Source organism: Homo sapiens, chromosome 14, assembly GCF_000001405.40.
Source record: "Homo sapiens chromosome 14, GRCh38.p14 Primary Assembly".
In the NCBI taxonomy this organism is placed as follows: domain Eukaryota; kingdom Metazoa; phylum Chordata; class Mammalia; order Primates; family Hominidae; genus Homo; species Homo sapiens.
The window spans coordinates 24,318,092-24,340,243 of record NC_000014.9 but is presented as its reverse complement, the minus strand read 5'-3'; the positions used below and the strand labels follow the sequence as shown (position 1 = coordinate 24,340,243).

Genomic DNA, 22,152 nt, shown 5'->3' with positions numbered 1-22,152 from the left:
GCAGGTCGTGGAGCAGGAAATCCTGTGGGAAAAGGGAAGGCTTTGACTGTAGGAGTGGGTTGATTGTGGGTTCCTGGAAGGTGAGGACTCCTTCCCTAACATCCTCAATGCCCAGCAACACCTAATCTGGCTGCGGCAGGTGCTCAGGAAACGCTAGTCAAGGAGAAAGGCACTAGCTTTCGCTCTGCCCCCTGCCCCACCCCAGGGGCGGGACTGTAGAGGCGCCTATAAGGGAAGTTGTTCAGTCAACTCGGAAAAAGGGTAACAACCCGGAAAGTAGACTCACCGTCTTGGTCTAGAGACTGACCCCTGCACAGACAGACCCCTTCCCCTCTCTGCGAAAGGACCAAGCCCCAGAAGTCACTCCATCTCCTACGGCTCGCAATTTCCAGAGGCCCCCTGGCACCTTCCAGCCTGATGTCGTGCGTCAAGTTATGGTGAGTAGGGAGTGGCATGTCGATCGCAGCCTCCGACATTCACACCCAGAGAGCCCCACAGACTCGCTCAGAGAACGTCTTTGAGTCCGGGGACGGTGGGGGCCGGCGAGGGAGGCTGGGGATTGCAGTGAGAACGCCGAGTCACAGGGGCGCGGGGAGCAGCGCTGAGGCACGGCACGGCCGGCTAGTGGGCGACACCCCTCTCTCAGGCCCAGCGGTGCCCCCGCCCCCTTGGTGTCCATCGAGGAACTGGAGAACCAGGAGCTCGTCGGCAAAGGCGGGTTCGGCACAGTGTTCCGGGCGCAACATAGGAAGTGGGGCTACGATGTGGCGGTCAAGATCGTAAACTCGTGAGTGACCCCGGTTGACCCCAGCCGCAATCTGGCCAAAAAGGTGGAGCCACTGTGCTCTGGGGCCTGAATGGCGAAGGGAGGGATTTTCCCACGACCCCGGTGCGACTCCAGCTCTCTCCTGGAGTGTAGGAAGGCGATATCCAGGGAGGTCAAGGCCATGGCAAGTCTGGATAACGAATTCGTGCTGCGCCTAGAAGGGGTTATCGAGAAGGTGAACTGGGACCAAGATCCCAAGCCGGCTCTGGTGACTAAATTCATGGAGAACGGCTCCTTGTCGGGGCTGCTGCAGTCCCAGTGCCCTCGGCCCTGGCCGCTCCTTTGCCGCCTGCTGAAAGAAGTGGTGCTTGGGATGTTTTACCTGCACGACCAGAACCCGGTGCTCCTGCACCGGGACCTCAAGCCATCCAACGTCCTGCTGGACCCAGAGCTGCACGTCAAGGTCAGCTGGTCTACACCCCTCTCAGCCTCAAGACAAGGCCCCAGAGCTGCTCCAGCCAGGCCCGCCGGACACTAGACCTCCAGAGCCCTGTCTATTGAATAGGCGTAGCCTCTCTCTCTGGACACAGGGCTGCCAGGGGACAAAGCCCAGCCAGGAGTTTTAGCTCCTGCCTACCAGGTGATAGAGGCCCTGAGCCACACGAGTCATTTCCACCAGCTGCCCCACCAGCCCCTCCAAAGAGTCATGGCTGACCCAGCCCTGGAGACTCAGACCTTGACCTAGCCCTACCACAAGGCACCTAGATCTACCATCCAAGGGAACCTCTTCCCTTGACCTCCACACTCCCTTTACAAAGCTGAACCTGCACCTTCTGGGGGCAGGGGGGTTCCTGGAGGCTCTCTGGCCCCCTTGTCTTCCCTACCTCCCACTTCTTTCCTTCCTTTGCAGCTGGCAGATTTTGGCCTGTCCACATTTCAGGGAGGCTCACAGTCAGGGACAGGGTCCGGGGAGCCAGGGGGCACCCTGGGCTACTTGGCCCCAGAACTGTTTGTTAACGTAAACCGGAAGGCCTCCACAGCCAGTGACGTCTACAGGTAAGGATCCCGGCCCAAACACACAGCCAGGATTCCTACACTTCTCTGGGCCCTCCCAGGGGATGATGTATAGGAAAGGAGTCTTGCCAGTGATTGGACCGATCCTCAGCTTTGTGTCTCCTGCAGCTTCGGGATCCTAATGTGGGCAGTGCTTGCTGGAAGAGAAGTTGAGTGTAAGACTCTAGGAGGATTCTGGGATCCTTAACCCCAGGTGCCCTTCTCTTGAAAGCCCCAAGGCTTCCCCTTCCCGCTCACCTACTTAGACTGCCCTCCTCCCTCCTCGTGCCCCCACATTACACTCCCTGCCTCTTTCCATGATGAAGCAGATAATTCCCTTTTACCCTGAATGCCTTCTCTTCTCACCCTCCTCCCCTACTCCAGTGCCAACCGAACCATCACTCGTGTACGAAGCAGTGTGCAACAGGCAGAACCGGCCTTCATTGGCTGAGCTGCCCCAAGCCGGGCCTGAGACTCCCGGCTTAGAAGGACTGAAGGAGCTAATGCAGCTCTGCTGGAGCAGTGAGCCCAAGGACAGACCCTCCTTCCAGGGTGAGCTGGCCAGTTAGCTGGATCTAGGATAAGCTTGGGTCTGTCAGCAGGGGGCTTTTCTCAGGAAAAGAAGATTTGCTCACCTGCACTCCACTCTGCTGTCCCTCTAGAATGCCTACCAAAAACTGATGAAGTCTTCCAGATGGTGGAGAACAATATGAATGCTGCTGTCTCCACGGTGAGTGCCAACATCACCCCTCCCCAGGAGCTGGTCAGGGATGGCACAGCGTGGCTACCTGGCCATCCAATGACTCACCACTGACCACTGCTTTTTATGCCTTGACCTTTGTACCCACCGTCCCCAGCCCACCCCTGAGTTCCCAGACAACAGATTATGGACCGAGAGACTACTCCCTTGGGTTTACTCTGGCTCATCCAAGTCATACCCAGCAAACTCCTCCCATCCCTGCAGGTAAAGGATTTCCTGTCTCAGCTCAGGAGCAGCAATAGGAGATTTTCTATCCCAGAGTCAGGCCAAGGAGGGACAGAAATGGATGGCTTTAGGAGAACCATAGAAAACCAGCACTCTCGTAATGATGTCATGGTTTCTGAGTGGCTAAACAAACTGAATCTAGAGGAGCCTCCCAGCTCTGTTCCTAAAAAATGCCCGAGCCTTACCAAGAGGAGCAGGGCACAAGAGGAGCAGGTTCCACAAGCCTGGACAGCAGGCACATCTTCAGATTCGATGGCCCAACCTCCCCAGACTCCAGAGACCTCAACTTTCAGAAACCAGATGCCCAGCCCTACCTCAACTGGAACACCAAGTCCTGGACCCCGAGGGAATCAGGTGAGACATTGACAGGATTAGGGGATGCACTAAGAGTCCTATAAATGCTGTCCCCTTGCCAGCGAAAACTTGGGGCTGAGAGGAGTGCAGTGGGAGTGCCAGGCTCCAGGGCAGAACTGGATGCTCTGTGCTGTTTGCAGGGGGCTGAGAGACAAGGCATGAACTGGTCCTGCAGGACCCCGGAGCCAAATCCAGTAACAGGTACCCATTCTCTACCTCTTTCTTTTCCCTGTTCAATTCTTCCACCAGACTCCTCCTCCAGACCTATATCTAGATTCAGGGTACTTTGTGGAGGGGAGGGGAGAAGATGATCTAACTCAACCTTCTCATTTCATAAATGGGAAAACCGACACCCCCTGAGAAAGGAGCCCTCTGAGGTCACACAACAAAGCTTGGATTTGTCCCTGAATCTTCTAACTTTCCACAACACCAGCTCTGTGAGCCCCCTAAGTTCCATTGTTTCAGCAGTCCAGAGGACCTCCCAGCAAAAAAGATCAGGGTCTCAAATGTCAATTGCCACTCTCTAGAGCTTCTGCTAACACAATTCTGGAGAGGAGCTCTGAGGGGAGGAGCACAGGGCACACCTTGACACAGCCACTGACAAGTAGAGACTTCATACTCCCCACCCACCCCCAACTTGGCCTTTCTGACAGCTAAACCCTCCTGCCACCATCACTATTTCTCTTAAAGGGCGACCGCTCGTTAACATATACAACTGCTCTGGGGTGCAAGTTGGAGACAACAACTACTTGACTATGCAACAGACAACTGCCTTGCCCACATGGGGCTTGGCACCTTCGGGCAAGGGGAGGGGCTTGCAGCACCCCCCACCAGTAGGTTCGCAAGAAGGCCCTAAAGATCCTGAAGCCTGGAGCAGGCCACAGGGTTGGTATAATCATAGCGGGAAATAAAGCACCTTCCAAGCTTGCCTCCAAGAGTTACGAGTTAAGGAAGAGTGCCACCCCTTGAGGCCCCTGACTTCCTTCTAGGGCAGTCTGGCCTGCCCACAAACTGACTTTGTGACCTGTCCCCCAGGAGTCAATAAACATGATGGAATGCTAGTCAGTCTGAGCTCAGCCAGGGGCAGGGAGGGACTGGGATGGGGGTGGGAGCTGCCAGTGAGGGATAGGGAGGCACCACAGCTCTGCTATGGCAGGAAGTGGGGATGCTGGGGGCTGGGAGTGGGCAATGGCCTGGCACACAAGGTCAGGGCACAGCCGGCTACAACAGGAAGGAATCCTAGAGGCCTGGTTCCCCAGACCACTCTCTAATCTCAGGGCAGTGCTTCCTCTAAAGCCTAGGATGGCGACCCCACCCTAACCCTAAACTCTGGGGATAGAGGCTGTGGTCCCTTTTCTTCCGGGCTCTCAAGACTCACTTGCAGGGCTCTGGCGAGGGATGAGTTGATGTGAAAGATCACAGACCTGGCCCCGCACGGTGCCCCCAGGCTCTTAGAGATCATGACGCCACATACCTGCCTCCACCACACACTCAGGTTGCTTCCTGGACATTGCTTCCCTTTTGATTCCCAGTTGCTGTTCGGGAGTGGAAAGCTATGGCTCCTAAAGCTATACACAGGCGCAACCCCTCCCACGGAGCATGAACAGTTCAAACCCGGTGGTAGTGGTTGCCAGCCAAGCGGAGAGGTCAAGAGAATGAGCGCCCCCAACTCTGACCTAGATCCCCACCAGGACCCACATTCTTCCCTACATTCTCGCCAGGCTTCAGCCCCCCGCCCTCGGTCTCCCCACTACCAAACGTTCACCTCCATTTGGACACATCCCATTGGGTCCACCCCAGCCCACCCCTTCGCATCTCTCCCAGGGTCCACATTGCCCTTCCCTGAAGGGGCTGAAGCGGGGAGGCGATGGTGTTAGGAGAGACAAAACCAAGTGCGGGAGGAGACCAGGGGAGTCCGGCTTTGGCACAGGAAGGGGCCGGGCTGTCCCGTCGGGGAAGTGGGAGGGGGCCGCGGCGCCGGGAGGGAAGCGCCTGTCGCCCGGGACTCTGAGCCAGAGCGCAGCGGCGAGCGTGACTCCGCCATCAGGTCCCCGGCTCCCTCCCCGGACCTAGCCCACTCCGCTGCGCCAGCGCCGCGGGCAGTGAGTTCGGGGATCAGGGGAACCCGGGGCTCCCTCGCACCAACCCCAAATCCTGCCCTCCTGGCGATGAGGCTTTTCTAGGGCACCTCTACAATCCGGGTTTGAGGGAGGAGGAGGAAAGGACTGAGGGATCCCCTCATCGCCAGCTGGGAGCGGGCTGGGAGGCCGCAGGGAGGGCCTGAAAAAGGAGACGGGATTGCCACGAGGTTGGGGGCGCGGGGTGGTAGCGGCTTTGAGCGGGTGAGAAAAGCTCAGGTGGGGCCCGCCGGGCCGAAGGAGGTAACCCGGCGCCCGGCCCTAGCCAGCCCCGGGGCTCGGGGCTGGGGAGATCATGGCCCGCCTCTTCAGCCCCCGGCCGCCCCCCAGCGAAGACCTCTTCTACGAGACCTACTACAGCCTGAGCCAGCAGTACCCGCTGCTGCTGCTGCTGCTGGGGATCGTGCTCTGTGCGCTCGCGGCGCTGCTCGCAGTGGCCTGGGCCAGCGGCAGGGTGAGCCGAGCCTCTGCTGCGGGAGGGTCTCTACCTGGGGAGCATTTTCGGGGTTGGGGTTTGTGGGGTCTTCTTTTCGATGTGTTTTCGTTGCTGGGAGCAGAGAAAGAAAGGACCATTGAGCCTGGCTAGGAACTGCAGTGACCCTGGGCAAGTCACTCTACCCTTCTGGGTCTGCTCAGGGAGAAAGCTGAGTCCTGGATGCTTCTCGTTTCTGTCCGGGTTCTGACAGACTTTATGAACATCCGTGGTCTACGGGTTCTACAATAAATCCATCACCGGATTTTCCAGTTTTCCAAAGGGGAAATTCTAGGAGGCCCCTGGGGAATTCATTTCCTGCCTTTCTCTCCCTCTTAGGGGATGTAGAGCAGTTGTACCCACAGACTCCCAGAAGGCACCCTCCACCGGGCTCTCACTGAGTCCCAAAGTAAACCCATGTCCAGTTTCTGTTTGGGGAGGAAGAAGGTCTTCAATCCAATTCTAGAAATGGCCTGCCCCTGGTTTTCTTTTCACTGCTTGGAGGCAAGGTGGGAAAATCACCGGGCGCGGCCAATCCTTGCTGGTCCACGCCTAAATCCGGGAAGAGGTGGGGACAAAATGCTGGGACGGCTGTGCAGCTTCTGCTTGGAGTTGAGGCAGGTGGCGAGATCGCAGCCCTGGTGGCCAGGGAGGTGCGGGACGCCGCGGGTCCTGGCGCCCCCTGCTGCTCGAGCGCTGCCTCGCGCCGCCCTTCAAGCTGCCGGCCGCGGTCCCCGGCTCCGGGAATCTCCCGAGCAAATTGGCCAGATTTGGAGACATTCATTCCGAAGTGCCTCCTTGTGAGCTTGGATCTATCTTTCACTTGCTTCATGACGCTTTGGTTCCCGTTTGACAGATAAGAAAACTGAGGCTCAGAAACAAATAGGGGATGGGAGCCAGATCTTCTGGGTAGCTGTCCCAGCAAGATAATAGGTTGGACAACAGGAGGCTGGGCGCTGTGGCTCACGCCTGTAATCCCAGCACTTTGGGAGGCCAAGGCGGGAGATCGTTTGAGCCCAGGAGCTCGAGACCAGCCTGGGCAACTTGGCGAGACCCTGTCTTCTACTAAAAATACAAAAAAAAAAAAATTAGCTGGGCGTGGTGGCGGGAGCCTGTAATCCCAGCTACTCGGGAGGCTGAGGCATGAGAATCACTTGAACCCGGGAGGCAGAGGTTGCAGTAAGCCGAGATCGCGCCACTGAACTCCAGCCTGGGCGACAGAGCAAGACTCTGTCTCAAAAAACAAACCAACCAACCAACAAAAACCATACGAGACTGCTGAGTCTAGATAAAAGCAGTAGGACACAAGCAATTTCAAATGGTTCAACCTAAAGTGAATGGCAAGCGGAGGTGCCTTGCCTCCTTTTCGTACTTAGGCTTGAGACACCTTTCAGAACTGGGCTGAGGGGCTGGGCTGCTGGCTTTTCCTTTATCAGGTTCGTTCCTTCTCCCTGTCACAATCTTGCCTCACACACCCCTGCCCACAGGAGCTGACCTCAGACCCGAGCTTCCTGACCACTGTGCTGTGCGCGCTGGGCGGCTTCTCGCTGCTGCTGGGCCTCGCTTCCCGGGAGCAGCGACTGCAGCGCTGGACGCGTCCCCTGTCCGGCTTGGTATGGGTCGCGCTGCTAGCGCTAGGCCACGCCTTCCTGTTCACCGGGGGCGTGGTGAGCGCCTGGGACCAGGTGAGAGGGGCGGCAGGCGGGGCAGCGGGGACGGCCCGGGCTTCGATCCCTCACCAGGCCTTGAATAGCCCCACTTGGGCCTTCGGCTTCCCGCGCCCCGCCCCCAGGTGTCCTATTTTCTCTTCGTCATCTTCACGGCGTATGCCATGCTGCCCTTGGGCATGCGGGACGCCGCCGTCGCGGGCCTCGCCTCCTCACTCTCGCATCTGCTGGTCCTCGGGCTGTATCTTGGGCCACAGCCGGACTCACGGCCTGCACTGCTGCCGCAGGTGAGCACGCAAGTAGCACAGGCTGCGCTCAGGACGGCTCTGCCACGTGCTAGTAGGCTCCTTTTAGGGGGTTGTTGAGCTGTGACTCCAAGTCAAGGTGCAACGCTGGGCGCAGGATACCCAACCGTGCTTTCGCAGAGCTGGTACAACAGTGTGATGCAATGCCTGCTGTTACCAGAAGAGGGATCCAGGCCACACGGAAGGGAGTCGTGTCGTGGTTTACCCCGGGGACAACAGATGTGGTTAATGAAACCTTGACAGAGAATGAAAAAAAAAAAAAAAAAGTTTTGTGCGATGGGAGTGGGTAGCGACAGTGGAGTGGTATTCCAAGCACAAGAAACCTACCTGCAAACGTTTCCAGACCTAAGAGGTCGTGTTGGTGAAGCAGCCGAGAGTCTGGAGGAGGGAGCATCTGGGAAGGGAAACGTCCCTAGGGATGCCACAGTGTGGCACCACTTGTCCCACAATAGTTAGGTCCCTCACTGTAAAGCCCAGTCTTCCCCAGCCAGTCTTTGAGACCAACTCCAACTACACACGACAAGCACCCGGGTCCCGCGCCCTCTGAGGCTGGCCTTCACCCACAGTTGGCAGCAAACGCAGTGCTGTTCCTGTGCGGGAACGTGGCAGGAGTGTACCACAAGGCGCTGATGGAGCGCGCCCTGCGGGCCACGTTCCGGGAGGCACTCAGCTCCCTGCACTCACGCCGGCGGCTGGACACCGAGAAGAAGCACCAGGTCAGCCGGGCCTAGGAAGGTCAGAGCAGCGCTCCGAGGGAGGAGTTGCTTAGATTACATAACGGGGCTCCTCCACAAGTTGAGTGACTCTGGGCAGGTTTCTTGACCTGTTTCCTCTTTTGTATAAAATGTGGGTATTGCCCATCTTAGAAGGTTGTGAGGCTCAAACAAACCAAAGCTTATAAAAAGCACTTTAGAGCATTATGATATTAAGTGAACTCCCATTCAGGTGTTGATACTGGGAGTTTAGTCACTAAAGGTGATCAGTGTAGGATGGAGTGCTGGGGCCCTGCTGTGTGCAGCGGGAGGACCTGGGGGAGCACCCTGGGGAGCACCTAGGATGGGCAGTGTGGGCTCCTGAGTGATTTGGGGGACAGGGCCTCCTGGCTTTAGGGTGCAGAAGAGTTGGTGTTCATGGTGACCTCTTCCAGGAACACCTTCTCTTGTCCATCCTTCCTGCCTACCTGGCCCGAGAGATGAAGGCAGAGATCATGGCACGGCTGCAGGCAGGACAGGGGTCACGGCCAGAGAGCACTAACAATTTCCACAGCCTCTATGTCAAGAGGCACCAGGGAGTCAGGTATGAGGAAGAATGGCTGGAGGGGAGGGGCCTGTGGGCTAAGACCCTGGCCCTGCTGACACAGTCTGCCCTATGCAGCGTGCTGTATGCTGACATCGTGGGCTTCACGCGGCTGGCCAGCGAGTGTTCCCCTAAGGAGCTGGTGCTCATGCTCAATGAGCTCTTTGGCAAGTTCGACCAGATTGCCAAGGTCAGAGAAGACTTCCCTCCCCACCCAGGGACCCTCAAACATCCCATCCTGGGTAGCCCCTTCCAAGGGAAACTCCCACCTTATAAGATCCCAGGCCCACTTCAGTGCATGCAGGCCCCCAGATATTCCAGTGGAAGGAGGAAACCCTCTCAAACATTCCCAGTCATGAAGCTGCTCACCACACACCTCAAACCTACAGAGATCCCTCAATATCGCCACAGATGTCCCAAGTACAATGCCCCAAACATGCTCAGAGCCCCCACATATGTGTCTCTGGACACTACAACCAAATCTATAGAGACGTTCTGATATTCTAACCTTAGGAGGCCCTTCCAAGAGAAATTTCTGCCCTATGCAACCTCAGCCCAGCAACCTGCTTAGACTCCAGGGATGCCTCCAAGCAACCAATTCTTGGATTCCCCCCAACCTCTCAATCCTGAGACCACTACCACGTACTCAACTCTGGGTACCCCCTTCAACATGCCAAAAGTGGAAAGAGCCACAGCCATCCAGCCCTTGGGGAAACTCTTCTGAGAAAGAGATCTGTATGAAAGACAGTTAGCCCCATATCAAGTGAAAGGAGTCCCTAGATCTGATCTAGACACTACCCCACCTTGGAAGTTCTTCAGGAATACCCCGCTCGCTGCCCACTTTTCCCAACTCCCTCCTACCCTTCTGACCTCTAACCAGGTTCCTCTGCACACCCACATACACACTCCCAGGAGCATGAATGCATGCGGATCAAGATCCTGGGGGACTGTTACTACTGTGTCTCTGGGCTGCCACTCTCACTGCCAGACCATGCCATCAACTGCGTGCGCATGGGCCTGGACATGTGCCGGGCCATCAGGTCAGCTCAGGCGGTGGTCAAGAGGAATGCTGAGGGTGGATGTGGGGGGCAGCAGGCAGCTGACAGAAGTCCTCTTTGTGAGAATCTGGGGTGTCTCACAGGCAGGGCTGAGGGTAGGACTCAGATTGTCCCACACACACACTGCTCAGGAAACTGCGGGCAGCCACTGGCGTGGACATCAACATGCGTGTGGGCGTGCACTCAGGCAGCGTACTGTGTGGAGTCATCGGGCTGCAGAAGTGGCAGTACGACGTTTGGTCACATGATGTCACACTGGCTAACCACATGGAGGCAGGCGGTGTACCAGGGTGAGACCTAGGGCCCTAGGCAGCTACAGCAGAAGGCCAACCAGGCCTACCACAGGCTGCCATCCTTTCATTAGTTCCTTAAGATAAGCACAAGATGAGTACCTTAAGATAAGTCCCATATGGGGCTTGGGAGATCCTAGGGTGCAGGGAGGGGAGCTGGGAGGCACCTCCTGTAACACAGGCTCTTTCTTGAAGTCAGACATCCAGGAACGATCTTTAAAAGACATGAGATGTTTGTCAGTTCTAGGAGCCATGGGGGTGATGGGGCAGGAAATAGGAGATTTGAAGGCCCTCCCTGCTGACCCCTACTGCCTCCCTCCTTCCAGGCGAGTGCACATCACAGGGGCTACCCTGGCCCTGCTGGCAGGGGCTTATGCTGTGGAGGACGCAGGCATGGAGCATCGGGACCCCTACCTTCGGGAGCTAGGGGAGCCTACCTATCTGGTCATCGATCCACGGGTAAAAGCCCAGCCCAGACCCCATGGGCTGGCCTACACAAACCACCCCACAGCCAACAGGCCTGATCTCTTCTGTGCCAGAGATTGAGTTCCTGGGTCCTAGTGGGGGGTGGAGGGAGAAGGAGGAAGTGTCTGTGGTCTTTACTGTCAGCCCTTATGTGCCCCAGGCAGAGGAGGAGGATGAGAAGGGCACTGCAGGAGGCTTGCTGTCCTCGCTTGAGGGCCTCAAGATGCGTCCATCACTGCTGATGACCCGTTACCTGGAGTCCTGGGGCGCAGCCAAGCCTTTTGCCCACCTGAGCCACGGAGACAGCCCTGTGTCCACCTCCACCCCTCTCCCGGTATGTGCACCTTCATCCTGAGCCCCAGAGCTTAGTTAAATCCACCCCCAGTATCCTCAGGCCCCACTGGCAGCCTTCCCTGCCCCCACCACCAGTGAGCCACTTAATGATTTGTGACATCCCAAAGTCCCGAACTGTCTTGTCACCCCAGTCACTGGTTCAGGCCCTTCCTTGCCCCTCCTTCTAGAGAAAGAGCCCTCCAGCTCACCTCAGAGAAGATACAAGATCCCTACAGACACCATTGTAGGGACCAGCCCCACAGGGTCGGTGGGTCTCTCCCTGTGTGCGACGACGAGAGAGTGTAGAAATAAAGACACAAGACAAAGAGATAAGAGAAAAGGCAGCTGGGCCCGGGGGACCACTACCACCAATGCGCGGAGACCGGTAGTGGCCCCGAATGTCGGGCTGCGCTGTTATTTATTGGATACAAGGCAGAAGGGGCAAGGTAAAGAATGTGAGTCACCTCCAATGATAGGTAAGGTCATGTGGGTCACATATCCACTGGACAGGGGGCCCTTCCCTGCCTGGCAGCCGAGGCAGAGAGGGAGAGGAGACAAAGAGAAAGACAGCTTACACCATTATTTCTGCATATCAGGGACTATTAGTATTTTCACTAATTTACTACTGCTATCTGGAAGGCAGAGCCAGGTGTACAGGATGGAACATGAAGGTGGACTAGGAGCGTGACCACTGAAGCACAGCATCACAGGGAGACGGTTAGGCCTCCGGATAACTGTGGGTGAGCCTGACTGATGTCAGGGCCTCCACAAGAGGTGGAGGAGCAGAGTCTTCTCTAAACTCCCCCAGGGAAAGGGAGACCCCCCCCCCCACCCCGCTTTCCCGGTCTGCTAAGTAGCTGGTGTTGTTTCTTGACACCTTTTGCTACCGCTGGACCATGATCCGCTTGGTGACGGGCGTCTTCCCAGATGCTGGCGTCACCGCTAGACCAAGGAGCCCTCTGGTGGCCCTGTCCAGGCATAACAGAAGGCTCGCACTCCTGTCTTCTGGTCACTTCTCACTATGTCCCCTCAGCTCCTATCTCTGTATGGCCTGGTTTTTCCTAGGCTATGATTATTGAGTGAGGATTATCATAATATTGGAATAAAAAGTAATTGCTACCCACTAATGATTAATGATACTCATATATAATCATATCTAAGATCTATATCTGGTATAACAATTCTTGTTTTATATTTTATTATACTGGAACTGCTCGTGTCCTCTGTCTCTTGCCTCGGTGCCTGGGTGGCTTGCCACCCACACACCATGTCCATAACTCCCCAGCCTCTACTCAGGAGAGTGCCTTCCCCTGACACCACAAAGGCAGTTGGACCCCCCACTTCCTCCTGTCTCTGATTCTAGGGCTGTGCACCCATAGCACCAGGAAATGTCTCTGTTTAACTCAATTCCTGAAACTGCATGCTCTCTTCTTCAACCCCCCAACACTGGGGAGTGGGGGAAGGACACTGGCAGCAGTGGTTGCAGGAAGTACTTAATTCCAAGTGTTAACATGAGGTAGGGGAGAGGTCAGAGGGTTAAGCTGGCAGGAGGAAGAGGAAGGAAGAAGCTGAGGTTCAGCTGACTGTTGCAGGATGAGACCTCCAGCATGGGTGGAGTGGTGTGTGGGGACTGCTACAAGCCCAGGGACTGTGAGATGGTGTTAGGTACAATTACATAGCAGGAATGCCTGCCGGGGCCCATGCTAGACCTCCTGCCGCTTTCCACTGGTGTGCAGGCTAGGGAGTATTAGGGTGGAAGAGCAGGACCCTTTGTTCAAGGGTGTCTCCTGAGGCAGGACCTTCACTAGCACAGAAATCCACTTAGCCCCTGAAGTTCCAGGGGCTCAGTCAAATATTAGAAATCTTGCCAGGCACGGTGGCTCACACCTGTAATCCCAGTACTTTGGGAGGATGAGGCAGATGGATAGCTTGAGGTCAGTAGTTTGAGACCAGCCCGGCCAACATGGCGAAACCCCATCTCTACTAAAAATACAAAAATCAGCCAGGCGTGGTGGTGCGTGCCTGCAATCCCAGCTACTCAGGAGGCTGAGGCAAGAGAATTGCTTGAACCTGGAAGGCGGAGGTTGCAGTGAGCTGAGATTGCACCAATGCACTCCAGCCTGGGCAACAAGAGCGAAACTCCGTTGCAAAAAAAAAAAAAAAAATCCAGCCAGGTACGGTGGCTCATGCCTATAATCCCAGCACTTTGAGAAGCCGAGGCAGGCGGATCACCTAAGGTCAGCAGTTTGAGACCAGCCTGACCAACATGGTGAAACCCCATCTCTACTAAAAATGCAAAAATTAGCTGGGCGTGGTGGCACATGCCTGTAATCCCAGCCACCTGGAAGGCTGAGGCAGGAAAATCGGTTGAACCTGGGAGGTGGAAGTTGTGGTGAGCCGAGATCATGCCATTGCACTCCAGCCTGGTGACAGAGCAAGATTCAGTCACACACACACACACACACACACACACACACACACACACACACAAAGATCCTGGGAGTCTAGAGAGTCAGGGGGAAACTTTAAGGAGATTCAAACCTCCCCTTCAAGGGCAGGTGGGATTTGGGAGACAGAGAGGTCATTAGAGGCAAAAGAAAGAGCCCAGTGAAATGCCCAAGGTCAAAGACATGTATAGAGCATGCAGTGTGGCTCATGGTCTACCTCACTGCAGGGAAAACACCCACCATGCCCACCTCCCCCTGTGCTCTCCCAACAGGAGAAGACCCTGGCTTCCTTCAGCACCCAGTGGAGCCTGGATCGGTGAGGAGGCCTCAAAGTCTTTGCCAGTGGGGCTGTCTGGATGACCCCCTCCATCCTCCCTGGGGGTCTGCTCCTGCTTTGCCCAGACGCTCTGAGGGTCTCTGTGGTGATGGACTTGGCTCTCACTGTGCAGGAGCCGTACCCCCCGGGGACTAGATGATGAACTGGACACCGGGGATGCCAAGTTCTTCCAGGTCATTGAGCAGCTCAACTCGCAGAAGTACGGAGAACAAAGAGGGCTGGGGGGGCCGCAGGCCCTGAGGTCATATGGTGGAGAAGGGATGGTGCTCCCTGAGGGGCTGGAGGGAAGACTCGCCTGACCACCCCCTCTTGCCCTCACTCTGCCCTCTTCCTGCCCTTCTGTGCCCTCTGTTCTCTGGTGCTTTCACCCACCCTCCCACCTCCCACCAGACAGTGGAAGCAGTCGAAGGACTTCAACCCACTGACACTGTACTTCAGAGAGAAGGAGATGGAGAAAGAGGTGGGCTGTGGTGTGGGTGGCACCAAACAACTTCCCAACTTTAGTTCCTTGGTGCTGGGGAGGGGTCAGCCCTTGGGTCTCCTCCCCAAGTCTGCTCAGTTTGTGATCCTAGGGGTGAGGAGCTTGTGCCTCTCTCTAAAGGAAAGTCACTCTGTAGACTGAGCTACTAGATGGTAGGGGGAGGAAGGAGGGTAACTCCTTGGAGAACTGGTAGGGTCTACATGGAACTGAACTGGAGCCTGGGCGGTGAGGCTGAGGAGCCCACCCCTTGCCTGGGAGTGATGCCTTCAAGGTGATGGGTAGCACTGGACCCTGTCTCCACCTCTGGCCCTCTCACTTTCAGTACCGACTCTCTGCAATCCCCGCCTTCAAATACTATGAAGCCTGCACCTTCCTGGTTTTTCTCTCCAACTTCATCATCCAGATGCTAGTGACAAACAGGTGAGAGTGCCCCAGGCAAAGGAGGCCCTGGCTGTCATAAGCGGATCACCTTGCCCTCATGACCCCGGGCCACACTTTCTTCCTTCACCCCTTCCCCTTAGCTTCAGGCACTTACCCACAGAGGAAACATGTGTTCTGGGGAAAATGATAATCACGGCCCTTATCTTAACCTTGTAGATCCTGTGGACTTTCTACACAGCCCTAGCATTTTCCCATGAGCATCTCTTTTGATTCTAACAACATCCCCATGAAGGCCAGTTTGTTTCCATTGAGAAACCCAAATCTGGCAGCAAATGCATGAGCTTAGAAAGTAGGCCCTCATTCCTAGTCCACTGCTAGGAGGGATGAGGACTTGTTCTTAACTCAGCCAGGTGGCCGGGTGTGATGGCTCACGCCTGTAATCCCAGCACTCTGGGAGGCTGAGGCAGGTGGATCACCTGAGGTCAGGAGTGAAAGACTAGCCTGGCCAACATGGTGAAACCCCATCTCTACTAAAAATACAAAAATTTGCTGGGTGAGATGGCAGGCGCCTGTAATCCCAGCTACTCGGGAGGCTGAGGCAGGAGAATCGCTCAAACCCGGGAGGCGGAGTTTGCAGTGAGCCAAGATCACACCACTGCACTCCAGCCAGGGCAACAGAGCGAGACTCCGCCTCAAAAAAAAAGAAAAAAAAAAAACTCAGCCAAGTTAAAGAGCTTTGGGCTAAAGGCCCAGAGATCAGTCTGCCGTAGCCTCAGCCATTCTTGTGAGCCCCCACTCCCCACCATATGGGTCCCTGTTCCACCTCGACACTGCTCTAGACCCTTAAGCCAGCCAACCCAGATCATCAGAATGCAATGTCTTCTATCAGCCGGGACCCCATCGCCAGCCAACCCAGATTCCCCAGAACCACTTCCCCTATCTCCCACCCAGCTCACACAGCACCTTCATAGCACACAGGGAGCCTGTTCTGGCACTTCAAGGCCTCGCTTTTGTCTCCCTTCAGGCCCCCAGCTCTGGCCATCACGTATAGCATCACCTTCCTCCTCTTCCTCCTCATCCTTTTTGTCTGCTTCTCAGAGGACCTGATGGTGAGGTGGGCTGAGGGGTGGAAGTGGTATGCCGGAGCCCTGGTCACAACCTGTCCTGAAGAGGGTGCCCCAGCCCCGTGGCTAAGATGCCCATGCTCCCTCCACAGAGGTGTGTCCTGAAAGGCCCCAAGATGCTGCACTGGCTGCCTGCACTGTCTGGCCTGGTGGCCACACGACCAGGACTGAGAATAGCCTTGGGCACCGCCACCATCCTCCTTGTCTTTGCCATGGCCATTACCAGCCTGGTGAGGACAGAGGGGGCCCTATCCACCCCCATGAGGGCATGTTGGACCTGCCAGGGACTGAAAGGGAACCCCTGGATTTGGGCAGGCAGCTGGACTAAGCCCAGGGGATGCTGGAAATGTTGTACAAATAGAAAGAAAAAAATTACAGTCTCCAGCAATCTACCATCTGGGCATAATAGTTGTTGATAACACTTCGGTGAATGTCCTTCTTATCTTTTTTCTGTGTAGGCAGTTACTTATTACTTAGATCACTTGGCTGATTCTTCAGGATTTAGACTCATTCCTAGAATTCTATTCCTGGTGGGCACCTGGGAATCACCCACCAGCCAAGTTACAGAAGAAGAAACTAAGGCCCAGAGAGGCTAAGTGGCTGGCAAGAGCTCACACAGTGGCTCAGAGTCAGAGGAGTACTCTTGACGCCCCTCACATAACTCCTCCCCGAGTGAGGACCCCAGTGCTGAGGTTCCCTTCCCAACCAGAAATAGCAGGATCCACCCCTTTGGACGAGTCTTCCCCTGACTCATCCCTGGGTCAGCTGAAACCCAGCACAAGCCACCACTGTGCCCAAGAAGCTACCTGCCTCTTCAACTCCTCATCTCCTCTGCAGTTCTTCTTCCCAACATCATCAGACTGCCCTTTCCAAGCTCCCAATGTGTCCTCCATGATTTCCAACCTCTCCTGGGAGCTCCCTGGGTCTCTGCCTCTCATCAGTGTCCCAGTGAGTGTTCCCACATGCCCTTAATCTCCTTCTGCACACCCTTCCTCAGCCCAAGCCCACAGCCCCCTGAGTGGAGGAACGCTCCATTCTGTGGATTAGAACAGACATAAGTCACACCCAGTGTGTATCAGTGTGTATGATGCCCCCTGTCTCCCAGATAGGACCTGGGCCTGGGAGGGACAGGAAGGGAGCCCTCAGGTGTCCCCCCTCTGCCTATGGGACATGCCCACTCCTGACCCCTGCCTGGCCCCACAGTACTCCATGCACTGCTGCACGCTGGGCTTCCTCTCCTGCTCCCTCTTTCTGCACATGAGCTTCGAGCTGAAGCTGCTGCTGCTCCTGCTGTGGCTGGCGGCATCCTGCTCCCTCTTCCTGCACTCCCATGCCTGGCTGTCGGAATGCCTCATCGTCCGCCTCTATCTGGGCCCCTTGGACTCCAGGTGTGCACAGCTGCTGGACAGAGGTGCCGGGCCCCCTGGGATGGGGTGAGATGGGATACAGCAGAGCTGTCCTGGCCTCACCGACCTGAATCACCCACAGGGCAAAGTGGGAGGGAAGCGGAGGCCTACATGGGGGCAGGGAGAAGGCCAGGAAGGGGGAAAGCAAGGGGTCACCCTGATCCATGGCCCCTTCAGGCCCGGAGTGCTGAAGGAGCCCAAACTGATGGGTGCTATCTCCTTCTTCATCTTCTTCTTCACCCTCCTTGTCCTGGCTCGCCAGGTAAGTCACCCAGCTCAGCCCCACCAGGGCCCACCTATGAGTGGCCCCCATATCTGTGACTTGATCTTTCTAATCTCCAGGGTTGAATGCCCATTGGAAGCTTCTAAGCGAGCCTTCCTGCTTCCTTTCTTCTCCTTCACTCCCTGCCCCTCCTTTCTCCCACACCCCTATCTGGGAAAGCCCATGCTTTAGAAAAAGTCTGCTGCCAATTCTCTATCCCTAGTCTGAATCTAATTTCAAGGATAGTCTCTCTCCAAGTATACTTACACCTTAAGCTCTACTTCTAAACTGGGGGTGGGGTGGGGGTGGTTTCAGGCATCATGGAGTTGGGGCTGAACACTCAGGAGCTGGGCTTCCCCTGCTCTGTGTCTCCCCATGGCCCCGGGTGACCCTCCCCAGAATGAGTACTACTGCCGCCTGGACTTCCTGTGGAAGAAGAAGCTGAGGCAGGAGAGGGAGGAGACAGAGACGATGGAGAACCTGACTCGGCTGCTCTTGGAGAACGTGCTCCCTGCACACGTGGCCCCCCAGTTCATTGGCCAGAACCGGCGCAACGAGGTGACTCCTGACCCCCTGACTCCTGAGCCACGGATGCCATAGGGCCTAATTTCAGATGAAAGCCTTGACCTATGGCCCGTTTTCTCTAGAACCCCCAGAAGGGTCACCCAAGCCCTTGTGCTTGTCAAGCGTCTTTGTTTTCACAACATCTTAGATTCTTTCTTTGGTGAGCACAAAACTGCATTTCAAATTCTTACTTGGAAGGCATGTCTTCTCTAACTCATGACCATTCCATACATTCCAGAAGCCTAGGCGTTGATGGGAGCTGTCTGGAGCAGGGGTCCCCAGCCCCCAGGCCGCAGACTGATACTAGTCCATGACCTGTTGGGAACTGGGCTACACAGCAGGAGGTGAGCGGTGAGCCAGCACTACCGCCTGAGCTCTGCCTCTTGTCAGATCAGTAGCAGCATCAGATTCTCATAGGAACTTGAACCTTATTGTGAACTGCACATGCAAGGGGTCTAGGTTGTACACTCCTTATGAAAATCTATTAGGCTGGTGCAAAATTAATCGCAGTTTTTGCCATTAAAAGTAATATAATTAAAAGTAATTACTTTTTTTTTTTTTTAAGACACAGTTTCACTCTCATCGCTCAGGCTGGAGTGCAACAGAGTTTCACTCTCGTCGCTCAGGCTGGAGTGCAACAGAGTTTCACTCTCGTCGCTCAGGCTGGAGTGCATGTAATGGCACGGTCTCAGCTCACTGAAACCTCCGCCTCCTGGGTTCAAGCAATTCTCCTGCCTCAGCCTCCCAGGTAGCTGGGATTACAGGCGCCTGCCACCATGCCTGGCTAATTTTTTTTATATTTTTTTTTTTTAGTAGAGACAGGGTTTCACCATGTTGGTCAGGCTGATCTCGATCTCCTGATCTCAGGTGATCCACCCACCTTGGCCTCCCAAAATGCTGAGATTACAGGCGCACCGCACCCGGCCTAAAAGTAATTACTTTTAATGGCAAAAAAAAAAAAAAAAAAGAAATGCAATTAATTTTGCACCAACCTAATAACTAATGCCTGATGATCTGAAGTAGAACAGTTTCATCCCAAAACCATCCCCCACCACAGCCTGGGTGCGTGGAAAACTTGTCTTCCATGAAACCCATCCTTGGGTCCAAAAAGGTTGGGGACTGCTGGTCTAGAGGATACAGTCCACCCCTCTCTCTAGACCTGCACTATCCAATATGGTAGCCATTAGCCATATGAAATTTTAATGTTAATTAATTAAAATAAAATATTCAGTTCCTCAGTTGCACCAGCCACATTTCCAGGGCTCAACAGCCACTCGTAGCTAGTGGCCACCCTATTGGACACTGCACATAGGGAATGTTTCCATTGCAAAAATTTCTATTGGATGCTGCTGCTCTAGATCCTCAAAAATCTTGCTAGCGCCAAACCATCAGAAATTCACCCACATATTTGTACCATCTTATTTGTATCATCTGCTGGCCCTCTGCTGTGGAAATGCTCTTGGCTCATATTGAGGGATGTTAAAAGAAACAGCTCAGGAGCTCTTTCACAGCCTTATGCCCCCACCGCCTGCTCCCTGCTCTCAAGATCAGTAGTTCTTTTCTGGTTTCTTCTCTTACAGACACAAGGAATCTTGTAATCGATCCTTTTCTCTCTTCACTTTGGCTGCTAGAAAGCTGAGAGCCAAAATCTAAGACTAAATAGGATTTCATGGCACTCATTTTGTGAACCACCCTCAGATCTGATTCCATCTTTATTATCTTACCCTTATTTTCCCTTTGCCTCATAGTCCCTATTGTTGCTTACTTCATCTTTCATTTTGTACCTATCTTAACTGACTTAAACACTTAAACACATTTTACCCTTGGTTTTGTAGCCGGCTTAATTGACTTAAACACCTTTCAGCAATAAGATAGGATATAGAAATAATTCACATTGACAGGATCCCAGTTCTAGGAGTGACTCCCTTCGTGTTGCTGTGAGGTGATCCTAACGCCAAACCTCTGTCTCTTCTAGAATTACAATGAGATCTAAGCTTTGACTCCTAAGTCACTTCCCTGGGGTAGCCTGGCCCTACTCCTCTCCCTCCTTCCCAATTCTTCTTAAACAGGGAGACCAGGAGTGTGGACATGGGGAGGAGGGCCCCACGCAGACCTCTAGAAGGGAGAGGAACATGACACACACCCCTCACTCCAGTCTCCTGTTCCCCCAGGATCTCTACCACCAGTCCTATGAATGCGTTTGTGTCCTCTTCGCCTCAGTCCCAGACTTCAAGGAGTTCTACTCTGAATCCAACATCAATCATGAGGGCCTAGAGTGTCTGAGGCTGCTCAATGAGATAATTGCTGATTTTGATGAGGTGAAAATTCCAAGAGTCTCCCAGACCCTATGTCCTAGATTCTAGAATTTTCCACCAGTACCTCCTTCCACTTTGCTTTTCTGGCCATGAAGTCAATCCTCCCCTCCACAGTACTCCCTCACCTCCTCTGATCCCCCAGATCTACCCACTCCAGCAACACTGCCCACCACCAACCCTCTCCTTCCTGACACTATCTCCACTCCCACAGCCTGATCCTTTAACTCCAAAGGCTTGGGGCTGGGCTTCTGGGAGAGGTGATGGAGAGAGTAAGAGAGACTGGGGACAGGACTCTTCTCTATATACAGCTGCTCTCCAAGCCCAAGTTCAGTGGGGTGGAGAAGATCAAGACCATCGGCAGCACCTACATGGCAGCCACAGGCTTAAATGCCACCTCTGGACAGGATGCACAACAGGTACGGCAACCCTTCCTTACCTACCATCCTCCTCTGGGCTCTCATTGATGGGCTTATTAGTGGGACTTATTCCTGTGCCCTCACTGGCCCACCCTGGTGGGCGGGCCCATTGCCAGGATGCTGAACGGAGCTGCAGCCACCTTGGCACTATGGTGGAATTTGCCGTGGCCCTGGGGTCTAAGCTGGACGTCATCAACAAGCATTCATTCAACAACTTCCGCCTGCGAGTGGGTGAGAGACTTCCCCTGCTGCAGCAGTCTGGTACCTCCTCACCTTCCTGAGCTTGCCCCACTCCAAGTCCTTTGTTAGCTGCTCCCAGTTCATCCTGAAGCCCCTTTCCTGACTCACTCCCTGGGATGGGGTGTGAAGGTGCTGGGCAAGGAGGTACGAGGCTCTCCCACTCTTTTTCTTAAGCTACATTCCTCCAGCCCTTAGAGACCCCTCCTCTCCTCTAGGGCCCCCCAGGCTCTTCTCCCTTCCTTCCAGTTCCTTGTGGCTTCCTCTTCCCCTCTTCCTTCTCCAAGTCTGTCATTACCACATCCCTCATTAGGGTTGAACCATGGACCCGTAGTAGCTGGAGTTATTGGGGCCCAGAAGCCGCAATATGACATTTGGGGCAACACAGTGAACGTGGCCAGCCGCATGGAGAGTACAGGAGTCCTTGGCAAAATCCAAGTGAGGGAACCACATTGGAGGCATAGGGGGAGGGGGACTAAGAATAGGGCCACCTCCATATTCCCTCGCCCCCCTCCAATTGTAGGTGACTGAGGAGACAGCATGGGCCCTACAGTCCCTGGGCTACACCTGCTACAGCCGGGGTGTCATCAAGGTGAAAGGCAAAGGGCAGCTCTGCACCTACTTCCTGAACACAGACTTGACACGAACTGGACCTCCTTCAGCTACCCTAGGCTGAGATTGCACTCGCCTTCTAAGAACCTCAATAAAGAGACTCTGGGGTGTCTGGAGCCCATTGATGTCTGAAGCTGCTGATATAGCTGGGGATCACCTTCTCATTGCCCTTCAGTGGGAATTCTTCTTCTTCCCAGGCCAATTTTAGTGCGAGTGTGTGTGTGAATGTGTGTGCACATGCCTGCACACATGCATGCATGTGAGACTAAGCATTTTGAAAGGGAGTGATTTTTTTCACAAGCTCAGGAAGAGAACTCCCTCAGCCTCTCTGCCAACTTGATTATAGTATTTTGTACACCTTGGAAGCATAAAGAATTTAGCCACATGA

At 54.9% G+C, this 22,152-nt stretch overlaps 2 protein-coding genes across 4 annotated transcripts, besides 10 other annotated features; both read left to right on the top strand.

The window, feature by feature from the left end:
• On the top strand, positions 253-4,219 carry RIPK3 (receptor interacting serine/threonine kinase 3). Its single transcript, NM_006871.4, has 10 exons — positions 253-437; positions 647-787; positions 920-1,229; positions 1,677-1,822; positions 1,949-1,995; positions 2,204-2,371; positions 2,482-2,549; positions 2,784-3,158; positions 3,299-3,359; positions 3,849-4,219. Exons 1-10 carry the CDS (start codon positions 418-420, stop codon positions 4,067-4,069), a joined length of 1,557 nt encoding a protein of 518 aa, NP_006862.2. The 5' UTR covers positions 253-417; the 3' UTR covers positions 4,070-4,219.
• Positions 298-367: an enhancer, noted in NCBI's record as "active region_8216". NCBI's record gives its function as "activates an Ori minimal core promoter by ATAC-STARR-seq in GM12878 lymphoblastoid cells {active_cell/tissue: GM12878}" and the evidence as "EXISTENCE:reporter gene assay evidence [ECO:0000049][PMID:35858748]".
• Positions 388-587: an enhancer, noted in NCBI's record as "active region_8215". NCBI's record gives its function as "activates an Ori minimal core promoter by ATAC-STARR-seq in GM12878 lymphoblastoid cells {active_cell/tissue: GM12878}" and the evidence as "EXISTENCE:reporter gene assay evidence [ECO:0000049][PMID:35858748]".
• Positions 818-887: an enhancer, noted in NCBI's record as "active region_8214". NCBI's record gives its function as "activates an Ori minimal core promoter by ATAC-STARR-seq in GM12878 lymphoblastoid cells {active_cell/tissue: GM12878}" and the evidence as "EXISTENCE:reporter gene assay evidence [ECO:0000049][PMID:35858748]".
• Positions 2,443-2,632: a silencer, noted in NCBI's record as "fragment chr14:24806818-24807007 (GRCh37/hg19 assembly coordinates)". NCBI's record gives its function as "represses an EF-1alpha promoter that drives an FKBP-Casp9 reporter gene in an ReSE screen in both phorbol 12-myristate 13-acetate-treated (for megakaryocytic differentiation) and untreated K562 erythroleukemia cells {active_cell/tissue: K562 | K562(+PMA)}" and the evidence as "EXISTENCE:reporter gene assay evidence [ECO:0000049][PMID:32094911]".
• Positions 2,443-2,801: a biological region, named in NCBI's record as "Sharpr-MPRA regulatory region 10023".
• Positions 2,507-2,801: an enhancer, noted in NCBI's record as "tiled region #10023; HepG2 Activating DNase matched - State 4:PromP". NCBI's record gives its function as "activates a minimal TATA promoter and a strong SV40 promoter by Sharpr-MPRA in HepG2 cells {active_cell/tissue: HepG2}" and the evidence as "EXISTENCE:reporter gene assay evidence [ECO:0000049][PMID:27701403]".
• Positions 5,173-21,885, top strand: ADCY4 (adenylate cyclase 4). 3 transcript variants are annotated; one of them, NM_139247.4, is made up of 26 exons: positions 5,173-5,260; positions 5,566-5,750; positions 7,256-7,453; positions 7,561-7,722; positions 8,307-8,456; positions 8,888-9,036; positions 9,115-9,226; positions 9,949-10,076; positions 10,226-10,384; positions 10,711-10,843; positions 11,010-11,183; positions 13,902-13,945; positions 14,079-14,165; positions 14,357-14,426; positions 14,770-14,867; positions 15,853-15,937; positions 16,045-16,182; positions 16,790-16,900; positions 17,156-17,340; positions 17,536-17,620; positions 18,020-18,178; positions 20,356-20,502; positions 20,808-20,915; positions 21,032-21,146; positions 21,466-21,590; positions 21,676-21,885. In NM_139247.4, the coding sequence occupies exons 2-26, from the start codon at positions 5,592-5,594 to the stop codon at positions 21,826-21,828; spliced, it is 3,234 nt and encodes a 1,077-aa protein (NP_640340.2). In that variant the 5' UTR covers positions 5,173-5,260; positions 5,566-5,591; the 3' UTR covers positions 21,829-21,885. The 3 variants fall into 3 exon arrangements, with proteins under 3 accessions (NP_640340.2, NP_001185521.1, NP_001185497.1); NM_001198592.2 differs by having other exon boundaries at positions 5,562-5,750; NM_001198568.2 differs by having other exon boundaries at positions 5,173-5,750.
• Positions 5,467-5,546: a silencer, noted in NCBI's record as "silent region_5639". NCBI's record gives its function as "represses an Ori minimal core promoter by ATAC-STARR-seq in GM12878 lymphoblastoid cells {active_cell/tissue: GM12878}" and the evidence as "EXISTENCE:reporter gene assay evidence [ECO:0000049][PMID:35858748]".
• Positions 5,617-5,776: a silencer, noted in NCBI's record as "silent region_5638". NCBI's record gives its function as "represses an Ori minimal core promoter by ATAC-STARR-seq in GM12878 lymphoblastoid cells {active_cell/tissue: GM12878}" and the evidence as "EXISTENCE:reporter gene assay evidence [ECO:0000049][PMID:35858748]".
• Positions 6,437-6,536: a silencer, noted in NCBI's record as "silent region_5637". NCBI's record gives its function as "represses an Ori minimal core promoter by ATAC-STARR-seq in GM12878 lymphoblastoid cells {active_cell/tissue: GM12878}" and the evidence as "EXISTENCE:reporter gene assay evidence [ECO:0000049][PMID:35858748]".
• Positions 17,673-18,632: an enhancer, noted in NCBI's record as "H3K4me1 hESC enhancer chr14:24790818-24791777 (GRCh37/hg19 assembly coordinates)". NCBI's record gives its function as "activates a minimal SCP1, AML or CMV promoter by ChIP-STARR-seq in naive H9 embryonic stem cells {active_cell/tissue: H9 hESC(naive)}" and the evidence as "EXISTENCE:reporter gene assay evidence [ECO:0000049][PMID:30033119]".
• Positions 21,886-22,152: the final 267 nt, after the last annotated feature.